The sequence below is a fragment of the Homo sapiens genome, chromosome 17 (assembly GCF_000001405.40).
Source record: "Homo sapiens chromosome 17, GRCh38.p14 Primary Assembly".
NCBI classification, from domain to species: domain Eukaryota; kingdom Metazoa; phylum Chordata; class Mammalia; order Primates; family Hominidae; genus Homo; species Homo sapiens.
In genome coordinates this window covers 15,477,934-15,497,405 of record NC_000017.11, presented here as the reverse complement: position 1 = coordinate 15,497,405, position 19,472 = coordinate 15,477,934, and the positions used below count along the sequence as shown (strand labels likewise).

At 45.4% G+C, this 19,472-nt stretch overlaps 1 protein-coding gene across 2 annotated transcripts in view, besides 2 other annotated features; it reads left to right on the top strand.

Moving 5' to 3' along the window:
- The window catches only part of TVP23C-CDRT4 (TVP23C-CDRT4 readthrough), a 127,469-nt gene that overhangs the window by 66,078 nt on the left and 41,919 nt on the right, over positions 1-19,472 (top strand). The window lies entirely within an intron of this gene.
- Positions 5,861-7,060: an enhancer, noted in NCBI's record as "MED14-independent group 3 enhancer chr17:15393660-15394859 (GRCh37/hg19 assembly coordinates)". NCBI's record gives its function as "activates an origin of replication core promoter dependent on BRD2, BRD4, P300/CBP and CDK7 cofactors, and independent of MED14, by STARR-seq in HCT116 cells {active_cell/tissue: HCT116}" and the evidence as "EXISTENCE:reporter gene assay evidence [ECO:0000049][PMID:35650434]".
- Positions 6,277-6,571: an enhancer, noted in NCBI's record as "tiled region #550; K562 Activating non-DNase unmatched - State 5:Enh". NCBI's record gives its function as "activates a minimal TATA promoter and a strong SV40 promoter by Sharpr-MPRA in K562 cells {active_cell/tissue: K562}" and the evidence as "EXISTENCE:reporter gene assay evidence [ECO:0000049][PMID:27701403]".

The following is a 19,472-nucleotide window of genomic DNA, read 5'->3' as shown; positions in this document are numbered from 1 at the left end:
TGATGAGCTCTGTAGTTGATTTATGTGAGTGGGGTGTGTGTATAATTTTGGGGTAAGCTTTAAAGGATGGCTTTAAAAATGATGGGAATTGTGTAGTTACGCCCTCTCCCCCTTGCCAGGAGAAAAAGACTTGCTTTGACTATAGCTATCACTTGTTGGGATTAACTTGCTGCTTTCTGGGAACTTGCATCTGTATGGAAATTTCAAGATAGAACTTGTCTGAAACTGCTTATTTTCTTCTATTGAAAAGGATCCACAGGCTTCTCAGAACTCCAGCTTCTTTTAACCACCTCCTCTTTCCAGTTCCTGCCTTCACCCTGGTTTCTGTAAAGGAACTTCTAGTGCTTCTGAAGACCCCAACGCTCAAATGATCTGTTCCAAGGAAACGTTCTAAATTACAGATGTTTGTTCTCGGTGCTCTCCAAATGTCTCTGAGGCCAAAGCACTTCTTGCATAGTCATTGAGCACGTGCTTGTATGGTAGTTAGAATGAAAGCCAAGGCAAAAATAGCTGTCCTCAGGTTTTGGTTTTTAATCGTCTGATGTTGGTGACTCCAGGGTAAGTATTTACGCACTTGAGCTTTGTTTGCCCCATCTATAGAATAAAAATCCACATTTTATTTTCAGCCTCTACATTTCTGCACAAATTTGGTGTGTAGGGTGGGTGGGGGTTGGCTCCCATTTTCAAGCCTTGTAACTTGGCTTTGCAAGAAAGGAAGCTTTGTTTATTATAATCATTATAGTATTACTATCATTGCTAGAGACTAGAGTCTCAATCCTGAGGTTCAGTTTCACTTAATACCAGAAAGCACAGTCTTACCAATTGAGAACTCAGTCACTTCAAGAATTTTCTGTGTTTCTTTCTTAAATTTAAGTCTAGAATTCTTCCACCTCCCAGTGTCCTTCAGGAAAGGTATCTGAGTTCGGACACCCATTATCTAACAGTGGGGCAGGGGTGGAGTGGGGTAGTGGTGAGAGATGTCAGTCATAGGGATGTAATAGGTCTGCACTGGTACCCAGTGATGTGTCCTTATCCCTGTCTGGTCTTGAGTCATGTGGTCCCCACTGTATCTGCTTTGGCATCCTGGCCTTCACACATCAGGTCTGCTGGCTCTCAGCTCCATCCCTGCTCCCCTCTGTGCTACATGGGAGAACAAACATGTGGCTGCTCCCTAACCCTGAAGGGTGTGTGGGACTCTATGAAGTTACTTCAGGCTCAGAAGCCTGGATACCCCATGCAGGATTGTCTACTCCACTCTCCTGGTGGCTGGTCTCTTTCCCATTGTGGGGTTGAAATATTATCACTTGAGATTAGAAGCTTCTTATGGAGGAGAGAAAGATGAAGGGGAAGCAAAAGAGTTGTTAAAAGATAAACTCAGGCGCATTAAAATGTTAACACCGTTATTTGAGCATTCAGCAGTTCATGAACTGGGCAGCACTGGATGACAGGTGTTTGGGTGCTACACAGCAGCGGCTTCAGGAGAACCTTTCATAAAGTGTTTAAGAAAGCAAGACAAAGAAAATATTTGATTGGTTAAAGTGGAGAGTCCCTAGATAGAGGTTAGTTGGCTGTTTCTGATTGGTTAGGCTTACGTTTTATTTCACTGCTTGCATTGAGTTGGGTTCTGATTTGCTTACGTAGGAACCCAAGATGCTGCAGCTGCCTCAGCCTGATAGCCTCCCAATTAATTATTTTAACACAGTTAAGCTTTGTTAGAAGGCCTCCTGCCCCCTGCTCTCTCTCACAAGGTTAACTACAAAGCACGAAGTTAGGAGGTGGATAAGAGAGCCCCCAAATGGCAGCAAGCCCACCTCTGAACTCCATTCCCTCCCAGTGGGAATGTTGCTTTTGCCTTGAAAAATCCATCTTCAAAATATCAATGTGATATATCACCCACGTTAAGCTAACTTGAAGTGGTAAAAATGGCCTTTCCTGACATAGCTTTCATCAAGAAAAAAAAATTAACTTGAGTTCTCCTTTCAAAACCCCAAGTAAGTACTTTTCCCTTTGAGTGACTGCATTCTTCTGAGTGGGAAAGGAGAATCGTGAACTTGGGCTCATTTCTTCGCAAGAGAAGTTTAAAAGATGAACTTTCAGTGACCACAATGTGACCATATCCCCAGTTTTCATGATTTATTTCGACAGTCAGTTGTTGGCCTAACCTCTGCTAATCAAGCAGGCTGTACCAATATCTAGCTTTTCATCATATGGAGGGCAAGATGCCTTCTGAGCTTCATGAATCAGAAAGTAATCATTATCTTAGCTACAACAACATCTCTTCTTCTACAGCATCAATTTTAAAAGAACAAAAAGTCTTCAAGACCTTCATTTATCATTTTCCCTCCTCCTCTCCTCCACCCCCCCCATCCCCTCCTCTGTCTCTCCTCATACAGCTGGTTCATGTTCTGTGTATTAGTGGTTGAGATCAGAGTTTCTCAACTTCAGCACCACTGACATTTTGGGTCAGAAAATTCTTTTTGGGGGTTGGCTTTTTCACTGTAGGATTTTAGCAGATTTCCTGGCTTTGACACACAGACACCAGTAGCACTCTCTTGTCCCTCTTCCTCCTCAGCTGTAACAATGAAAAATACTTCTAGATTTAGCCAGATGTCCCCTGGGGGGCAAAATTGACCCCTGTTGAGAAGCACTGGCTTAGACAAATTACAGATGAAAACATCTGCAGTCACTGTCAGTAGTAAGTGCTCTTATACGTGGTATTACTGATATTATAGTATCCAACAATATCATCTGATAAAGGAATTTGCCTATTAATAAATTAGAATAAAAGCCAACTGCTTTATGCTAAGCTCAACATTTATCATGGAGTCTCTTTTTCCAGCATCTTACAAACAGTGTGTACTGTTTTTGCTACTTGGGTATAATTTAGAAGATGTGTCTATATTTTGGTTTCTTCTCTTAGTGACCAAATTAATGAGCTTTTTTCTTGGTAAGTATTATTTTGCACTTGTTCTACAGAAAATTAATTGACTTCCCAGGGAGTGGTTTAATATAATTTCTTTCTTTTCTTTTCTTTTCTTTTCTTTTTTTTTTTTTTTTGGAGACGGAGTCTTGCTCTGTTGCCCAGGCTGGAGTGCAGTGGCATGATCTCGGCTCACTGCAAGCTCCGCCTCCTGGGTTCACGCCATTCTCCTGCCTCAGCCTCCCGAGTAGCTGGGACTACAGGCGCCCACCACCACTCTGTATTTTTAGTAGAGATGGGGTTTCAACATGTTAGCCAGAATGGTCTCGATCTCCTGACCTCGTGATCCGCCCTCCTCAGCCTCCCAAAGTGCTGGGATTACAGGCGTGAGCGAGACTCTGTCTCCAGAAAAAAAAAAAAAAAGGACTACTGGGAACACACTGTTTGCATACGCTTTTCAAATATGTGAAAATGTAGTGAATAATTGGACTTGTTACCTTTTCTTTGGATAGCACTATCTTGCCCAGTGTGGGCTGCTGTAACAAGATGTGGGTTAAACAACAGACATTCATTTCTTGCAGTTCTGAAAGATGGGAAGGCAGAGATCAGTGTCTGGTGAAGGCCCTCTGCCTGGCTTGCAGATGGCCAGGCATCTGCAGAGGGAGAGAGAGAGAGGAAGGGAGGGAGAGAGAGAGGAGGGAGGGAGAGAAGAGGGAGTGAGAAAGGAAGGGAGGGAGGGAGAGAGAGAGGAAGGGAGGGAGGGAAAGAGGAAGAGAGGGAGAGAGAGAGGGAGAGGGGGAGGGAGAGAGGGAGGGAGAGAGGAAGGAAAAGAGGAAGAGGGGGTGGGTGAGGGAGAAAGGGAGGAGTAGGGGAGAGAGAGCAGGAGGATGGGAGAGAGAGGGAGGGAGGGAGAGAAGGGGAGTGAGCAAGCACACTTGCTCTGGTCTCTTTATCCCCTTATAAGGGCACTAATCCCCTTCATCAAGCTCCAGCCTCATGACCCAATGACCTCCTGAAGGCCCACCTCCTAATACCAGGAATGTTGGTGGTTTTCACACCCATGTAAGAAAGGCTAAGTTAGTGCTGTTAACATTAATTTAGATGAGAATGACAGACCCCAAGATAGACAGTACTGCAAATGCCTATGAGTTCCTTCTCCAGGCTACACAGCAGGCTCCCTGAGGGCAGGAGCAGGTTTCTGGATCCCTGTGAGTCTCCCCAATGGACTCCCAGCACAGGGCTCTGTCCCAAAGCGGACAAAGCTCTTGGCATGACAGGGTGAGACTGCGTGGCGTTTCTGTTCTGGCTGCCTGTGCCGCTGGAGATTCACATTCACCAAAGAGTGAAGCCCAGAGTTGAAATGCAGACAGACAGGTCCACAATGGCCAGGCCCTGTGGGGTTTAGCTGCACAAATCCATTCTTTTGACAAAGATTGGTGCTCCCAGGGCGTAGCACAGCTCAGCAATGGAAGCTGACCCCCCGCGGTGGCCCTGGCAGCAGCCTGGGGCAGGCTGTGCATGCCATGCCTTGCTCTCTGGGAGGGCACAAGGCTGTGCTTTCTGTTCAGCAGCTGTTCCTCTTCCAGCTGATTCGCTTCTAACCTAGAACCAGGCTTGGACTAGGGGGCAGGGGGCAGGTAGTCTGCTCCTTCCTGTGACCAGTCTCTAAGAACACACCTGTCTTCATGTCCCTTGGCCCTGCTTGCTCTCTGATCAGCCCAAGACTTCACCCACGTTCACGTCCATTTCTCTTTGGGAGTCTGGGGGTCCTTCTGTGGGGGGCTTGAGCATCGCTGCTCCTTTGGGTGACTCCCCATTGCCCTGCCGCAGAAGGAGCAGGATTGTAATTGATGGTTTTCCATCTGGAGCACAGGTACGTCTTGGGGAAATGGGGATGTGAAAAATAGAAGTAGGCTCATTTAAGAACTATTTTGTTTTATGTCCATTTTTGAAAAGTCTTACTGAAGGGTGCACAGCATTGGTTAGGAGGATGGTTTGGGTGTGGTTCTAGGGGACAACCTGCTGCTGGGAGACCTGGGTGGCAGGAACAGCAGCTGTAGTGATAGTGAGATGATGATGATGATGATGACGATGATGACGATGATGATGATGACGATGATGATGATGGCAATGTAACATCTATTGCACACCTACTGTTTCAAAATCGAGTAAATATACTCATTAGTTCCCCACAATCCTACTGTCATCCTTGTTTGACAATTGAGGAAATTGAGACCTGAGAGGTTGAGAGGCTTGTCCAATGTCATGGGCTATGAAGTCAAGATACCAGGTATTACTCCTGGCTACGGGACCTTAGAGAAGATGCTCAAGGTGGTGGTCTCCATAGTTGAGAAATCAAAGATGGATTGGTTGACTCCCAGATGTTTTTTTTTTTCTCTAGCAAATGTTAACAAGTTTAGCCCAAGCTGCCTCCTTACATATTTTAAGTTCCACCTAAACATTCCGCTGTGCAGATGATAACCTAACTGGATGTGTACAGAGACTGTAACCGAGGCTTGTAGCCACTAGCCCAGTGTCAGCCCATCAGAGCAGCTGAGTGTCAGCTAATCACAGGCGATCAACTGCTCAAACTGTGTTCAAATCAGGCAGACACGGAGCCGTAAGCAGCCTAGCTGTTTCTGTTTTCTGTAGATCACTTTCTTTTTCTGTCTATAAATCCTCTCCGACCATGCACCAGAGTCACTGTGGGTGTGCTGAGTCTGTCTAATTCTTGAATAATTTTTTGCTCAATTAACTCTATTAAATTTATCTAACGTGTTTTTTTTAAACACAAATATTCTCTTATAATCTCTGAAAGTCCTTTTATTTAGGCCAAACCCTAAAAAATATGCGTGAAGTGGAATCTTCTCTCTGTGCTTCTTCCCTTCCCACGACTCTCACCAGTCTTACTCCAGCCCCTGAAGGGAACCAGTGCCTTTGCATAATTTACTGTTATTTTTGCTTCCATAAGACGTTTCTTGAATCCTTCCCTTATACCAAGGAGTAAATGCATGACAAAATGTTGGAGCATTTCTTTTCTATGTAATGATGAAATGACAGGCAGCAGCCAGCAGGTAGTAGCAAATAAATGTCTAGCATCATTCCAGTTTTAAAAAGTCTGTTTTTCCAAAAGTTTCCCATCCTGCCCCCATCCCCAGTTAAAAGTATGAGAACAGTAAGGCCTAGAAAGGGGCCTCAACCATGATTATGAGTTGTCTGTAAACCTGGACCAGAGTTCAGGTCTCCGGATCCTCCATCAGGAAATCACAGGGTGGGGTGAGTAACATGAAGCCGGCTTCCACTCTGGGATGTCAGATTCCTGGCATGGGGTGATGCAGGGGGCTTGGAACATTCCAGAGGAAACAAAAGCGAGATGAGCAGAGACAAAGAGCTGTGAACACCAGGTTCAAAATGCATGAGTGAGGGTGTTGGAAAACTTCCCAGGGGTGGTGGCTGCCCAAGTCAAAGGACACCAACAGGAAATGCAAAGTCCCAGGGTCCCAGGGCTAGCAGGAAGCTTTGCCTCCAGGCTGTGGTGCTTGCTGGGCCTCTATGCTTCGAAGAGCCGGCCCGAGGTGACTCAGATTTCCTGAGAAGCCTCTTATCACAGCCAGCACAGACATCTGTGCCTTTCCTCGCCTGAGATGTCACCAGCTCAGGGCCACTCCCTGCCCCAGCCAGATCAATGGGCCTTTCACGGCTTCTGAGGGTGGATCCTAGGAGTGCCCCTGTGACGAATGCTCAGATGACTGCCTCTCTAGGATTTCTGTTTGTTTCTGCTTCGCAGTCTTCCCTCCACCCAGAAGCTCCCGAATGTCCAGGAAGAATTGACTAATTCTCTCCATGAGTTTCTTGCCCACAGGACGAATGGAGCCATTGCTGTAACAACCTTATTTTCCACTAAGTCAGAATAAGAGACCTGGACAGAAAGAGAGTAATGGCTGAGGCACAAGGAGCGAGTATTTTAAATCAGGCTTATGAATGTGCTCTGTGGATACGGTTTGCCCATAGGGAGGTGGTTTTGGGGGTTGCGAATCATACTCAAGCTGTCCCTGACCGACTCACCAGTATTCTACAAACTTACTACAAACCTCTCAAAGGACCATCTTGGAAGACACTAGCAAGGGCGTGAACAATCCCCTCTGACGTTGCTGGCTGGTGGTGGAGGCCACGGAGCCTCCCTGTGTGAGACTGTACTATGTGGTCACTAGAACGTTTTGAAAGACAGTTCTCTGCAGGCCCGGCACCGTGGCTCACGTCTGTAATCCCAGCATTTTGGGAGGCTGAGGCGGGTGGATCACGAGGTCAAGAGATCGAGATCACCCTGGCCAACATGGTGAAACCCTGTCTCTACTAAAAATACAAAAATTAGCCGGGCGTGGTGGCGGGCACCTGTAGTCCTAGCTACTCAGGAGGCTGAGGCAGGAGAATGGCGTGAACCCGGGAGGCGGAGCTTGCAGTGAGCTGAGATTGCGCAACTACACTTCAGCCTGGCGATAGAGCGAGACTCCATCTCAAAAAAAAAAAAAAAAAAAAAGAAAAGGAAAAAGAAAGACAGTTCTCTGCAAATAGATACCCCAAGGGTTATTCTTTTTAAGTTGATCTTTAGTCTTAGAGCTGTGAAGGATCCCTAAAATTCTTCCACTTTAGAATTAAGGAACTAGAGTTTTGGAAGAGTTAGGTGATTGCCCTAAACCTTTATAATGTTAGTGACATTGTTAAAACTCAAATGTGAGCTTCCTGACTCTCAATCTAAGGTGCTTTCCACTCCCCCCAACCCCCACAGCAGATCGACCCTCTTCCCACAGAGAAGGCAGTTTTTATTTTCCAAACAGCTCCTTTGCCAACCAGTAAGTTAACAGAAGATGCCAGACTCAATATGACACCATCATAGCCAGGCCAGGTTAATTCCAGATACCGGGTCCTCTGATTTAAACACAGCCTTTTGGCTGGATGCAGTGGTTCACTCCTGTAATGTCAGTGCTTTGGGAGACTGAGGCAGGAGGATGGCTTGAGGCCAGGATTTTGAGACCAACGTGGGCAGCACAGTGAGACCCCCTCCTCTACAATTTTTTTTTTCTAATTAGCTAGAGTGAGCTGTGATTGTGCCACTGCACTCCAGCCTGGGCAACAGAACGAGACCCTGTCTTTAAAAAAAATACAAAAAAATTAGCTGGGCATGGTGGCGGGCGCCTGTAGTCCCAGCTACACGGGAGGCTGAGGCAGGAGAATGGCGTGAACCCAGGAGGCGGAGCTTGCAGTGAGCCAAGATTGTGCCACTGCACTCCAGCCTGGATGACAGAGTGAGACTCCGTCTCAAAAAAAAATAAAAATGAAAATAAAAATAAAAAATTAAATTAAAAAACAGCCTTTTAAAGAAATTCCAAAGATAAAGAGAACAGCTAAGAAAAAGACACCCAAGATCCTCACCCCTAGGTTTCCAGGGACTTTCTGTCCCTAGGCAGAGATACTGAGAAGGGGAAGCGGAAAGGATGCTGCATGAAGCTCCTCGCCGGCCTGCTTGCTGGGCTGCTCACCCCAAGAAGGGAGGCCCACCTGCCTCCAAAGTGGCAGTTCTGGGGCATAAACATTCCCAGAGCCCAGCATCACACCATGCCCTTGGGAAACCCATGTGGAGGAGGCCCCATTGCTGCACCCGAGGGGCTTGCAGTCTGGTGTTGAAGACACCAGTTGATGACAGCTGTTGATGACAGCTGGAGCAATGACCATGATAAGAGCTTTCATCATAGATGTGATGTTCTGTAGAAACACAGGGGAATGAGGGGCTGAGAGTAGAGAAGGATTCCTAGATAGGGCACAAGCAGGACTGTCTTGTGAAGCATGGGTAGAGTTTCTACAGGTGGAGGAGGGGAGAGGATTCCAGGAGCTTGGGCTGCTGCACAGCCAAGTGTCCTGTCTGATGGGGGCGACGTCCCTGGGACTTGTTCCTTGGAACTCGAGTCCTTGGAGATGAGCCAGTAAAAGAGGAGGTTCTGGGGTCAAATATGTCAGGGTGGGTATCCCACTATGTGGCCTTCTTAGAGTTCCACGATGTGCAAAGCTTACTGCAGGCTCTTAGCAAACCAAACCAAACACGACAAAACCTGTTTAACCATTTTTAAGCACAGGGAATTCTCTCTTTTTGTTTCAGAGAACATCTACTTTCATCTCGGGGAACCAGGACTCCACTGGATTCATTTTGACCTAGGGCAGTGGAAAGGGAGGGGAGGAAGAGCTTTGACTTTGGAAAAGCCAGCGCCTGCTAAGGAGTTCAGGATTGCATCCCACAGGCAGTGGCAGCAGTGGTAGGACTTTTCCCCCTTATATAACATTTTTTCCTGACTATCTAAGTAATGTATATTCATTGTACAAAACTTGCAAGGCCCCAAAATCTCCCCAAACAACAAACAACCTCAGAAAAGAAATCTGGTTGCCCATAAGACAGTGCACAGAAATAACCACATAACCACTGAAGATAGATGTCTATTGAGTGCCTTCTGGGTGCTGGCCTCTGTTCTAGGTCCTGTGGATTCGACAATGAATACATCCAGTGAAAATTCCCACCCTTGTGCAAGTTACCTTCTAGTTGGTGTTGCAGGTAATAGACAAAATGAATAAGTATCTAGTGGCCTAAATAATCAGAAGGATAATGAAGAAACATGAAGCAAGAAAGTGATTGGGGAGCGTATACCACCACCATGGGCAGATGTGGGCTGCCAGGAGGGCCGCTTTGGCAAGTGACAGGGTGATGTTTGGATGATGACTTGAGAGAGGTAAAGTAGTGACATATGTCATAGTAATGACATAGATAAATGGAGGGAGAAGGAGGAGCAGGTGCAAAGATTTGCGTCTGTAGTGTGCATGTTTGAGGCACAACAAGGAGGCTACAGTGGCTGGGGCAGGAGGAGCCAGGAGGGGGACAGTAGGAGAAGTGAAGATCAGAGATTGGGGAGAGAGCGTCGGTAGAATGTGAGGCTTTGAATGATGATGCTTCTGTCTGCATAGTAGGGGGAGCCAGGGCAGAGTTTTAAAATAGCTCTACAGTGGTCCCTCCCCTTATTGACAATTTTGCTTTCCAAAAGTTACCAGCTTGAGTTACCAGCCATCAACTGTGGTCCAAAAACATAAAATGGAAAATTCCAGAAATAATTCATATTTTAAATTGCACCTCTTAGCCACTTAGTAGCTGACTCAGTTATCAAATCCACTGTGGCAGCATTGCAGTGCATGTGTTCAAGGAACCCTTATTTTACTTAGTAATGGCCCCTGGGTGCAAGAGTGGCAGTGCTGGCAATTCAGATATGCCAAAGAGAAGTCATAAAGTGCTTCCTTCAAGTGAAAAGGTGAAAGTTCTCAATGACGGAAAAAAAAACATCTGCTGACGTTGTTAAGTTCTACAGTAAGAATGAACCTTCTTCAAGCCTGTAATCCCAGCACTTTGGGAGGCCGAGGTGGCAGATCACGAGTTCAAGAGATTGAGACCATCCTGGCCAACATGGTGAAACCCTGTCTCTACTAAAAATACAAAAACTAGCTAGGCATGGTGGCACGCACCGGTAATGCCAGCTACTCAGGAGGCTGAAGTAGGAGAATCACTTGAACCCGGGAGGTGGAGGTTGCAGTGAGCCGAGACTGCACCATTGCACTCCAGCCTGGGTGACAGAGCGAGACTCCATCTCAAAAAAAAAAAAAAAGAAAAGAAAAGAGAAAAGAAAGAAAAAGAACGAATGTTCTATCTGTGAAACTGTGAAATTGTGAATCAGGAAAAAGAAATTCCTACTAGTTTTGCTGTCGCAATTCAAACTGCAAAAGCTATGACCATGATGTATGACAAGTGCTTAGTTAAGATGGAAAAAGCATTAAATTTGTGGGTAGAAGACATGAACAGAAACATGTTCCACGTTCTGACTAATGGCAATCAGGTTTGGTGCTATCCACAGTTTCAGGAATCCACTGGCGGTCTTGGAATGTAATCCCTGTGGATAAGGCGGGACTACTTTATGGAGATAGAATTCATGTACCATAAATTCACTCATGGCCAGTGTACCATTCAGTGGTTGTTAGTATATTCATAGAATTGTGTAATTTCAGAAACTTCATCCCTATTAACAGTCACACCCCATTCCTCTCTCCCCTAACCCTTGACAACCATCAATGTACTTTCTGTCTGCAGATTTGCTTATGCTGGTCATATCACGTAAATGGACCACAGGATATAGGGTCTTCTGTGACTGGCTTATTTTATGCAGGATAATATCTTCAGGGTTCATCCACATTGGAACATGTATCCGTACCCGAGTTCTTTTTATTGACAAATATGATCTTGTTATATGGATGTACCACATCTGCATGCCCCTTGCAGGGTTTGAGCAGAGGAGTGGTGGGATCTGATTTTGATGGGACCACTATGCCTGCTGTGTGGAGATAAATGGAGATGGGCAAGTGTGGAACCAGGGAGGCTGGTTAGGAGGCTGCTGAAATGTAGTTGAGGATGTTTTGGGCCTGGGTGATAGCCGTGGAGGTGGTAAATGTTGGAGCACCCCAGGACTCAGATTGGTTTCTCTTTATCTATATATACTTCCTAGGTGACCTCACCCAGTCTCTAAGTTTCAAATATCTTCTTGCAATGGACTGAATGCTAGTGTGGTAGGAGTTATTAAGAAATTATTTTAGGGTGAGTGTGGTGGCTCACGCCTATAATCCTAGCACTTTGGGAGGCCTAGGTGGGCGGAGCACTTGAGGTCAGGAGTTGGAAACTAGCCTGGCCAACATGGTGAAACCCTGTCTCTACTAAAAACTTCATCTCTGCAGCCCAAATGCCCTCTAGGTGTTTGCTTATTCTTGCTTGACCTCTCTACTCACCAATTCTCTGGTAGACACTACTTTTCTAGGCTCCTTGGCTGGGCTATGAATTAAATTGACATAAGACAGAATAGCAGGAGAAAAACTACGTTTAATTATGTATTAATTAATTAATACATTAATTATGTGGGACATGGGAGTCCCACAAAATATGAGACTTGAGAGGTTAAGTGATTGAAGCTTGTATAGCATCCTCAGCTACAGAAAGGAATAGGGACTTGGAACTTCTGGGGGGTGGTAGCGGAACAAGTTATGGGAGGGTGAGGGGAGGAAATGAGTGGCAAATAAATGTTGTCTTGTTAAACGTCTCTCAGGTAATAAACGTTGCCTGAGAGGAGTAAGTGATGGTCTGTCAGTGCTGGTGTCAATCTTATCTCCTTTCCTGTGTTCTTCCCTGGTTGATGAGATTCCTGGGGAAGGAATTCATGACAATTGAATTCCTTTTGGAGGATCTGTCCTTAGGCAGATAAGGGGAGCTCAGAGAAAGCCTCTGCCTGCATCTGCTGCTCCCCAAATGCCCTCAGTTAAAAGTAATCGGCACACCAAAGCATCAGCTTTCAGGTGGCATTTCCTGAACTTCTTCACCTCACATTTGATGCATTCCAAACAGAACTCCTAATCCAATCCCACCCCAAATCTGCTCTCCCTGCATCCTTTCTTGTTTCAATGATTGCAAGTCAACCCTTTCAGTTGCTCAGGCTGAAAACATTGCAGTCATCTTTGATTCCTCTCTCTCTTACATCTCATATCCAATTCATCAAGAAATTTGTCAATCTCATCTTCAACATATCTAGAACACAGCCCTTATCATCCCTTGCTTGAATCAGTGCAAATATTCTTAACTGATCTTCTTCCTTCATCCTTCTCAAGGGACCAAAGAGGTCCTTTACAAATGCAAATCAGGTCATGCCGCTCCTCTGCTCAAAACTCTGCAACAATTCCCCACATCGTTCAACATGAGTGCAAGTCCACACATTGGCCTATAAAGCTCTATGTGAGTTGGCTTCCTGTGACCTTGGACCTCATCTCTCACTCTTTTCCCCGCTTGCTTTCTCTGTTTCAGCTGCTTGGCCTTGTTGCTGTTCCTTGAACTTCCAGGCACTTCTCCGTCTCAAGGCCTTTGCACAAGCTGTTCTCTCTGCCTGGAACACTCTTCTCTCTGATACCCATATAGTTATTCCAGCTCATTTTTTAAAAGATATTTATTTCACTGTTACTTTTTAATGAAGCATGCTGTGTTTTGCCTGCCAAACATCACAAACTGGACACTTTCCTGAACTTGCTTTACATTTTCTTTTCTCTTAGAGCTTGACAGTACCTTTAATATCCTATATAATTTACATTTTAGGTTTGTATTTTATCAACTATTTCCCCTTGCTTGGATATAAACTCCATAAGAGCCGGGATCATTATATGTTTTATTTCTAGCTACTAGTATGGTGCCTGGCACATAATAGTCACTCATGAAATATGAATGAATCAATAAATACCTGTTGATTGGATGGATGCACAGATCCCTTGTGTTAAAATGTATTCCAGATACCTTCGTGTGTTTGCATGTTTGGCATTCAGCCTCCACCCGCTGTTTCTTTGGTAATGATATATAATTGGTAATGATTTTCCACAAGGAAAAATCTTCATCCCTCTTTCAGACCCTGTGGTGTGGTGGAGGCTGGCCCCTTCCCCAAGATTCAAGTCACTAAAACTTGATTTCAGGTCTTTTGTTGGAACTCCTGGGAAGAGAAGCCCTCCTCCAAGAGAGGACTTGAAACTGGGAAGTTGTAAGTCAGGGGCTTCTGGGGGCTACCACGTAGTGACCACTTCCACCACATAGTGACCACTTGCTGGGGAGTGGAGCCCAGACTGCGGAAAGCAGAACTTACAGAAACCTGGATGAACTGAGTCCTGATGCTGCTGCTTTCTGTGCTTAAGCCAGTGCTTATCTGTATTATGCTCCTTGGGCTGCTATCACAAAGTACCGCAAGCTGGATGTCTTCAACAACAGCACTTTATTGCTTCATAGTTCTGGAAATTTGAGATCAAAGTGTTGGCAGAGTTGGTTACTTCTGAAGGCTGCGAGGGAGAACCTGTTCCATGGCCCTCTCCTTGCTGCTGGTGGTTTGCTGGTGAGTTTTGACATTCCTTAGCTTGTAGATGCTTCACCCCAATCTTTGTCTTCATCTTCACCTGGTATTTTCCCTGTGTGCACATCTCTTTGTCCAAATTTCCCCCTCTTCTGACTCCATACCAGATTAGGACCCACCCTGATGACTTCATTTTAACTGAACTAGCTCTGTAAAGACCCTGTTTGCAAATAAGGTCACATATACACAAGTCCTGGGGTTAGGGCTTCAACATCTTTTCTGGGGACGCAATTCAACTTATAGAACTCTCTCTTGCAGCTGAGAGCCTTACATGCTTAACGTTTCAGTTCCATGTAGAAAATCTCATATTTTATGGGAAGCCATTCAAATAAAGAGAAGGAATTTCCATTTTTTTCATATAATTTTTTCACTGGCCAGAAACAAAACAAATGATCTGAGGGGAAGAAGGCAACATTGTATATTTCTTGCATTCTGTACCATATATATCTTCATATACGTACACATATACATATGAATACATATATGTGTATATATATGAATTCCATCTATGTAATTCTATTTACCCATCATCTTTCGATCATCTCTGCATTTCTAATTTAGAATGTCTCACAGTTTTTATGCTTTCTTCCTCACGTGTTTATCCTGAAATAAAAACCGTATCTAACCTGACTCTGGCTGGTCTCCCCAGAAGTGATTCTCCTTGTTTACCTGGATGCCGTTAAAACCTCTCCAGAAGATGCTGGTTTCCCAGCCCAGCAGCTTCAGAGTTACGCAGGGAGGGGCAGAGGCTGGAGCTGGCGGCTGCCCCAGCATGAGGAGCTCATGTCCCCATTGGCATCTTCTCTGTGACAGATGCCCCAGGTGCCGGGTGAATAAATTTATGTCTTCACTTCTCTGTTTATTTGGTTTCTTAGCGAGTAAACAAAAGAATGGCAAGTACCTCTTTTGTGTCAGGCACTTTTCTAGGTTTGAGGACACAACAGTGTGCAAGGAATACACAGACATGGATATTACAGAGCTTATATTCCAATAGGGTTAGCAGAGTTCCTATTTCGGTCGGGGAAGCCAGTCCAATACTGTAAAGACGCCTGACCCCATCATTTTTAGTGAGAAGTCACTAAAGGGTGGAGAAGCGTGGAGACAGCCTTGCTTTGATGTTGCTTATGGGGTGATGGGGCTGGGCTCTCAGACTGGCATGGGGTAATTCTGATTTTCTCCATCAGGAAGCCTCCAGCCTGTGTACCTCCAAATTAGGGGAAGTTGTGGGGTCCAGTCCTGCGTGCCCTCTACCCGGCTGTGGGTGTAAATGTCATCCTTCTCATGCCGAGGCAGTATTTCCTGTCACCATTGTCATTTCCACTCATCATAAACAGGGGTTGGGGGTCTGCCCTGGTGTGCCTCTTTCTTACCAGGCTTTCTTTGGATTTCATTTCACCTAGACACTCTTCCAAAAGGACACAAAACCCAGTGACAAGGCTGATTTTTAGTTTTCTTCTTTGGTTGCTGTGGTTCCTATACTCTTGATGGTTTAACCTATTTCTAGGGCTTTCTATGCCTGGAACCAGCATAGACCATGAATATTTCTGTTCCTTTATGTTCAGCAGCTTCTAGCTCCATGGCTGAAGAAAAAAATTCAGTCATTAAATGTAGTACAGACATATTTGGAAATGTAATACATGCTTCAAACATGGGATGTTTTTGAAGTTTTCTAGAAAAATCTCTTTAGCTTTCAGGCTGGGTGGAGGTTGATTCCTCAGAAGGGAGTGGGCTATTAGGAAAATAGAAATGATGTGTGCCTGTTCCAGGAAATGCGAGTTGAGAGCGGCTTCTCATCCGTCATTGAGCAAGTTTATTCGTGGTGAGAGTGGACAGCCCCAGGCGTCTCAAAGGCTCTGTCTGGGATGGGGGTGCAGTAAGGTGGGAAAAGACTGTGGTTCTAGGGAAGACCTGGGGGGCAGTCTCACCGGGCTCAGCTTCCTCATGTGGAAACATGGATTTAAAAAAATACCTATTTTGTGGGGTTGTTAGGGGTGACACAGGAGGGGCTCCACGAGAGCGCGTGGTGTTTGAGTGGGTTCAGGCAGGGGCCTTCTAGAATCAGTGCCTCCCAGGGCAGCTGTTCTGCTGAGCGCTGCTGCATCCGGTTCCCAGGTGGGCTTCACATGGTAGAAGCTCAATCTGGAGATGCTCCAAAATGGCTTATCCATTGCTGGATGAAAATCAAATTGAAACGATGAGTGGTATGTTAGTGAGTTTGTTAAACCTCTCAGAGTTTAGGGATTCAAAGCCTGGCTCTGCCATGCTCTAGCTGTGTGTCTAAGCAAATAACTTTCCCTCTTATTTATTTATTTATTTATTTATTTATTTATTTATTTATTGAGACGGAGTCTTGCTCTGTCGCCCAGGCTGGAGTGCATTGGTGCGACCTCTGCTAACTGCAGCCTCTGCCTCCTGGGTTCAAGCAATTCTCCTGCCTCAGCCTCCCGAGTAGCTGGGACTACAGGTGTGCGCCACCATGCCCAGCTAATTTTTGTATTTAGTAGAGATGAGCGTTCACCATGTTGGCCAGGCTGGTCTCGAACTCCTGACCTCAGGTGATCCTCCCACCTCGGCCGCTGAAAGTGCTAGGATTACAGGCGTGAGCCACCCTGCCCGGCCAACTTTTCCTCTTTTGAGGGGGCATCAGGTCTTTCATCTATAAAATGGGAGAAGTAAGAATATGGATCTCATAGAGGTGCTGCTAGTTCCTGAGTTAGGATTTGTAAAAGTTTAGAAATGGGCCTGACACATATACATTTGTAATAAGTGTTAGCTTGTGTTATAAATGCCTCATCTGGAAACAAGATAGCTAATAACCCCAAAAGTGGTTTTCAGCTGGCGAGGGAGAGTAGTAGGGGGTCATCTTGGAATCATGATATTTAATGATTATGATTATTTTACTTATTTGGAATTTCAAATAAGATAAAAGGAAGGAACGAGATTTTCTTTTTTTCAAAAGATGGATTGCGTTATAAAAAAGGTTGCAAAAGCCTGTCCTACTAGACAATGCACTTGGGCGTGCCTACACCTCTGTGCATTATTAATTCTAGCTTCATTTCGTAGGGAGTATATGCTGTGTCAAGTGTTTTTGGCATGCAAACGGGACTATTCTCCTTGGCAAGCTAGGCTCATCCACTTACAAAGGAGAAGCTAAGAGTAAAGCTTTTGCATGGCCCTTGGACAGTTTATGAACCTCTCCACAACTGTTATTTCTCTAGTTTAATACTAAAGGCATTCTTGCAAGGTGACTAGGGCAGACGTTATTATAATTTCCTTTCTATAATGAAGACATTGAGCTCTTAGGGAGGGAAAGGGAGCTTCCTAAGGGTCACACATTGTAAAAGGCAGAACCTACTTCCTACTGTGCCATAAACTGCTTGGAACTGGAATACTTACTGCCTGGGTCTCACAGGTGGTTAGTAGCCATGGGAGAAACATGCTAGGAAAAAATCACTGCAGAGTGGCTCAGGAGGCTGGGACCTGCCTTATGGGATAAGTATGGGCATATGGTGCCCTTTCATCTGGGCTGGAAAAGACAGGGAGAAGTATCAAGTTTCTCTTCCTGTAGGAAAACCACTGGCTTCTGGCATTGGTCCATCTTCAAGGAATTTTGCATTGAGGTAGCAACTGATCAGTGGTTATTTCCTGAACATTTTCTGTCTAGGACTTTGATGTATGCACAGGGGTTGTTGGAGATCAAGGGAGCCACAGGCCACTTCAGAGTTCCTGGAACTGTGAAAAGCAGAAACAAGAAAACAAAGTTCCAAGCTCACTGAGATATTCACAATGCTTACATTGAAAAATAATGCTTGTCAGTCTACTAAAAATGCAGTGTCATATTATCATATGATCTTAAGTTAATTGCAGGATTTCTAAAAATTAATAATTTAGTAGTGTATGGCAGGAGGCCTGCCAGCCCTGTGTGCCTTGGATGTGGGGCAACTAAAGCGCACTCCCCACTTTTAAGAAGCCATTGACCCAGTGGAGTAAACAAACATGAACAACCAACAATATCACAATGAAATAAGTGTGAGTGGTATGTCAGGAGAGCCCCAAAGAGGGAAGATCAGAAAAGGCCTGACAGAGGTGAAGCTGGGCTGGGAGGAAGGGAAGTGCCTCTTGATTGAGGCTCTGCTCTTTCTCCTCTTCCCTTCTTCCTGTGTCTCCTCACTTTCCTTCCACCAGATCCTTTCCACTTCCCCAGCCCCGCTATTGTCTGGTCTTAGAGGGCAGGAAAACGAGGTCTGCTGGTCTGCTTTCAGATTTTGTTTAACTATAGAAGTGCTTTGGTTTCTTTGTGGTTTCTTTGAGCTTTTCAGTGAGAAAGAAGAAGGCAGTGGGAATACATTGGAAATAAACTTATCAGTGCTTTGTAGCATCACCACTGTGGTGTGATTGCCCCTTGAGGCGTGTGAGAGGAAAGGTGGAGGAAGATGAGGCTGACAAGGTTAAGTGGGGCAGAGTGCTCTGGCACTACTGGGATTGTAGGGAGGGGAACCGAGGGACATCATGGCACAAATCTGGAACCCGAGCAAAGCGAGTTTTCTGAAAGATAACTCCAGCAGTGATGTGGAGAATTCTTTTAATGGCAAGAGACCAGATGCTGTGGTTACCTTGCAGAAGCAAGGTGGATCCCCACCCTAAATTTAGTTTGGATGTCAAGATTGACGCCATCACACATACCAAGAGAGCATGCACATGTTTATTACTTACATCAAGCTTGTCCAGCCCACAGCCTGCGGGTCGCATGTGGCCCAGGATGGCTTTAAGTACAGCCCAACACAAATTTATAAACTTTCTTACAACATTTTGAGATTTTTTTTTTTTGCTAGTTGTTTTTTTTTTAAGCTCATCAGCTATCGTTAGTGTTAGTGTATTTTATGTGTGGCCCAAGACAATTCTTCTTCCAGTGTTGCTCAGGGAAGCCAAAATATTGGACGCCCCTGACTTACATGATGAGGCTTTCTGGGGAAGAACAGGGAAGACATCCCAAGCTAGTTCAAAACAGCTTGGGAGAGCAAGAAAAAAGACTGGCTTGGGATTTGATTTTCATTTATTTTTATTTTTAGAGATGAGGTCTCACTATGTTGCCCAGGCTGGTCTTGAACTCCTGGGCTCAAGCAATCCTCCCACCTTGGTCTCCCAAAGTGCTGGGATTACAGACATGAGCCACCATGCCCGGCCAAGGCTTGGAATTTTTTTTTTTTTTTTTTGAGACGGAGTCTCGCTCTGTCGCCCAGGCCGGACTGCGGACTGCAGTGGCGCAATCTCGTCTCACTGCAAGCTCCGCTTCCTGGGTTCACGCCATTCTCCTGCCTCAGCCTCCCGAGTAGCTGGGACTACAGGCGCCCGCCACCGCGCCCGGCTAATTTTTTGTATTTTTAGTAGAGACGGGGTTTCACCTTGTTAGCCAGGATGGTCTCGATCTCCTGACCTCATGATCCACCTGCCTCGGCCTCCCAAAGTGCTGGGATTACAGGCGTGAGCCACCGCGCCCGGCCGGCTTGGAATTTTTAATAGTGGTTACAATGTGGGCAGGGGCTTGT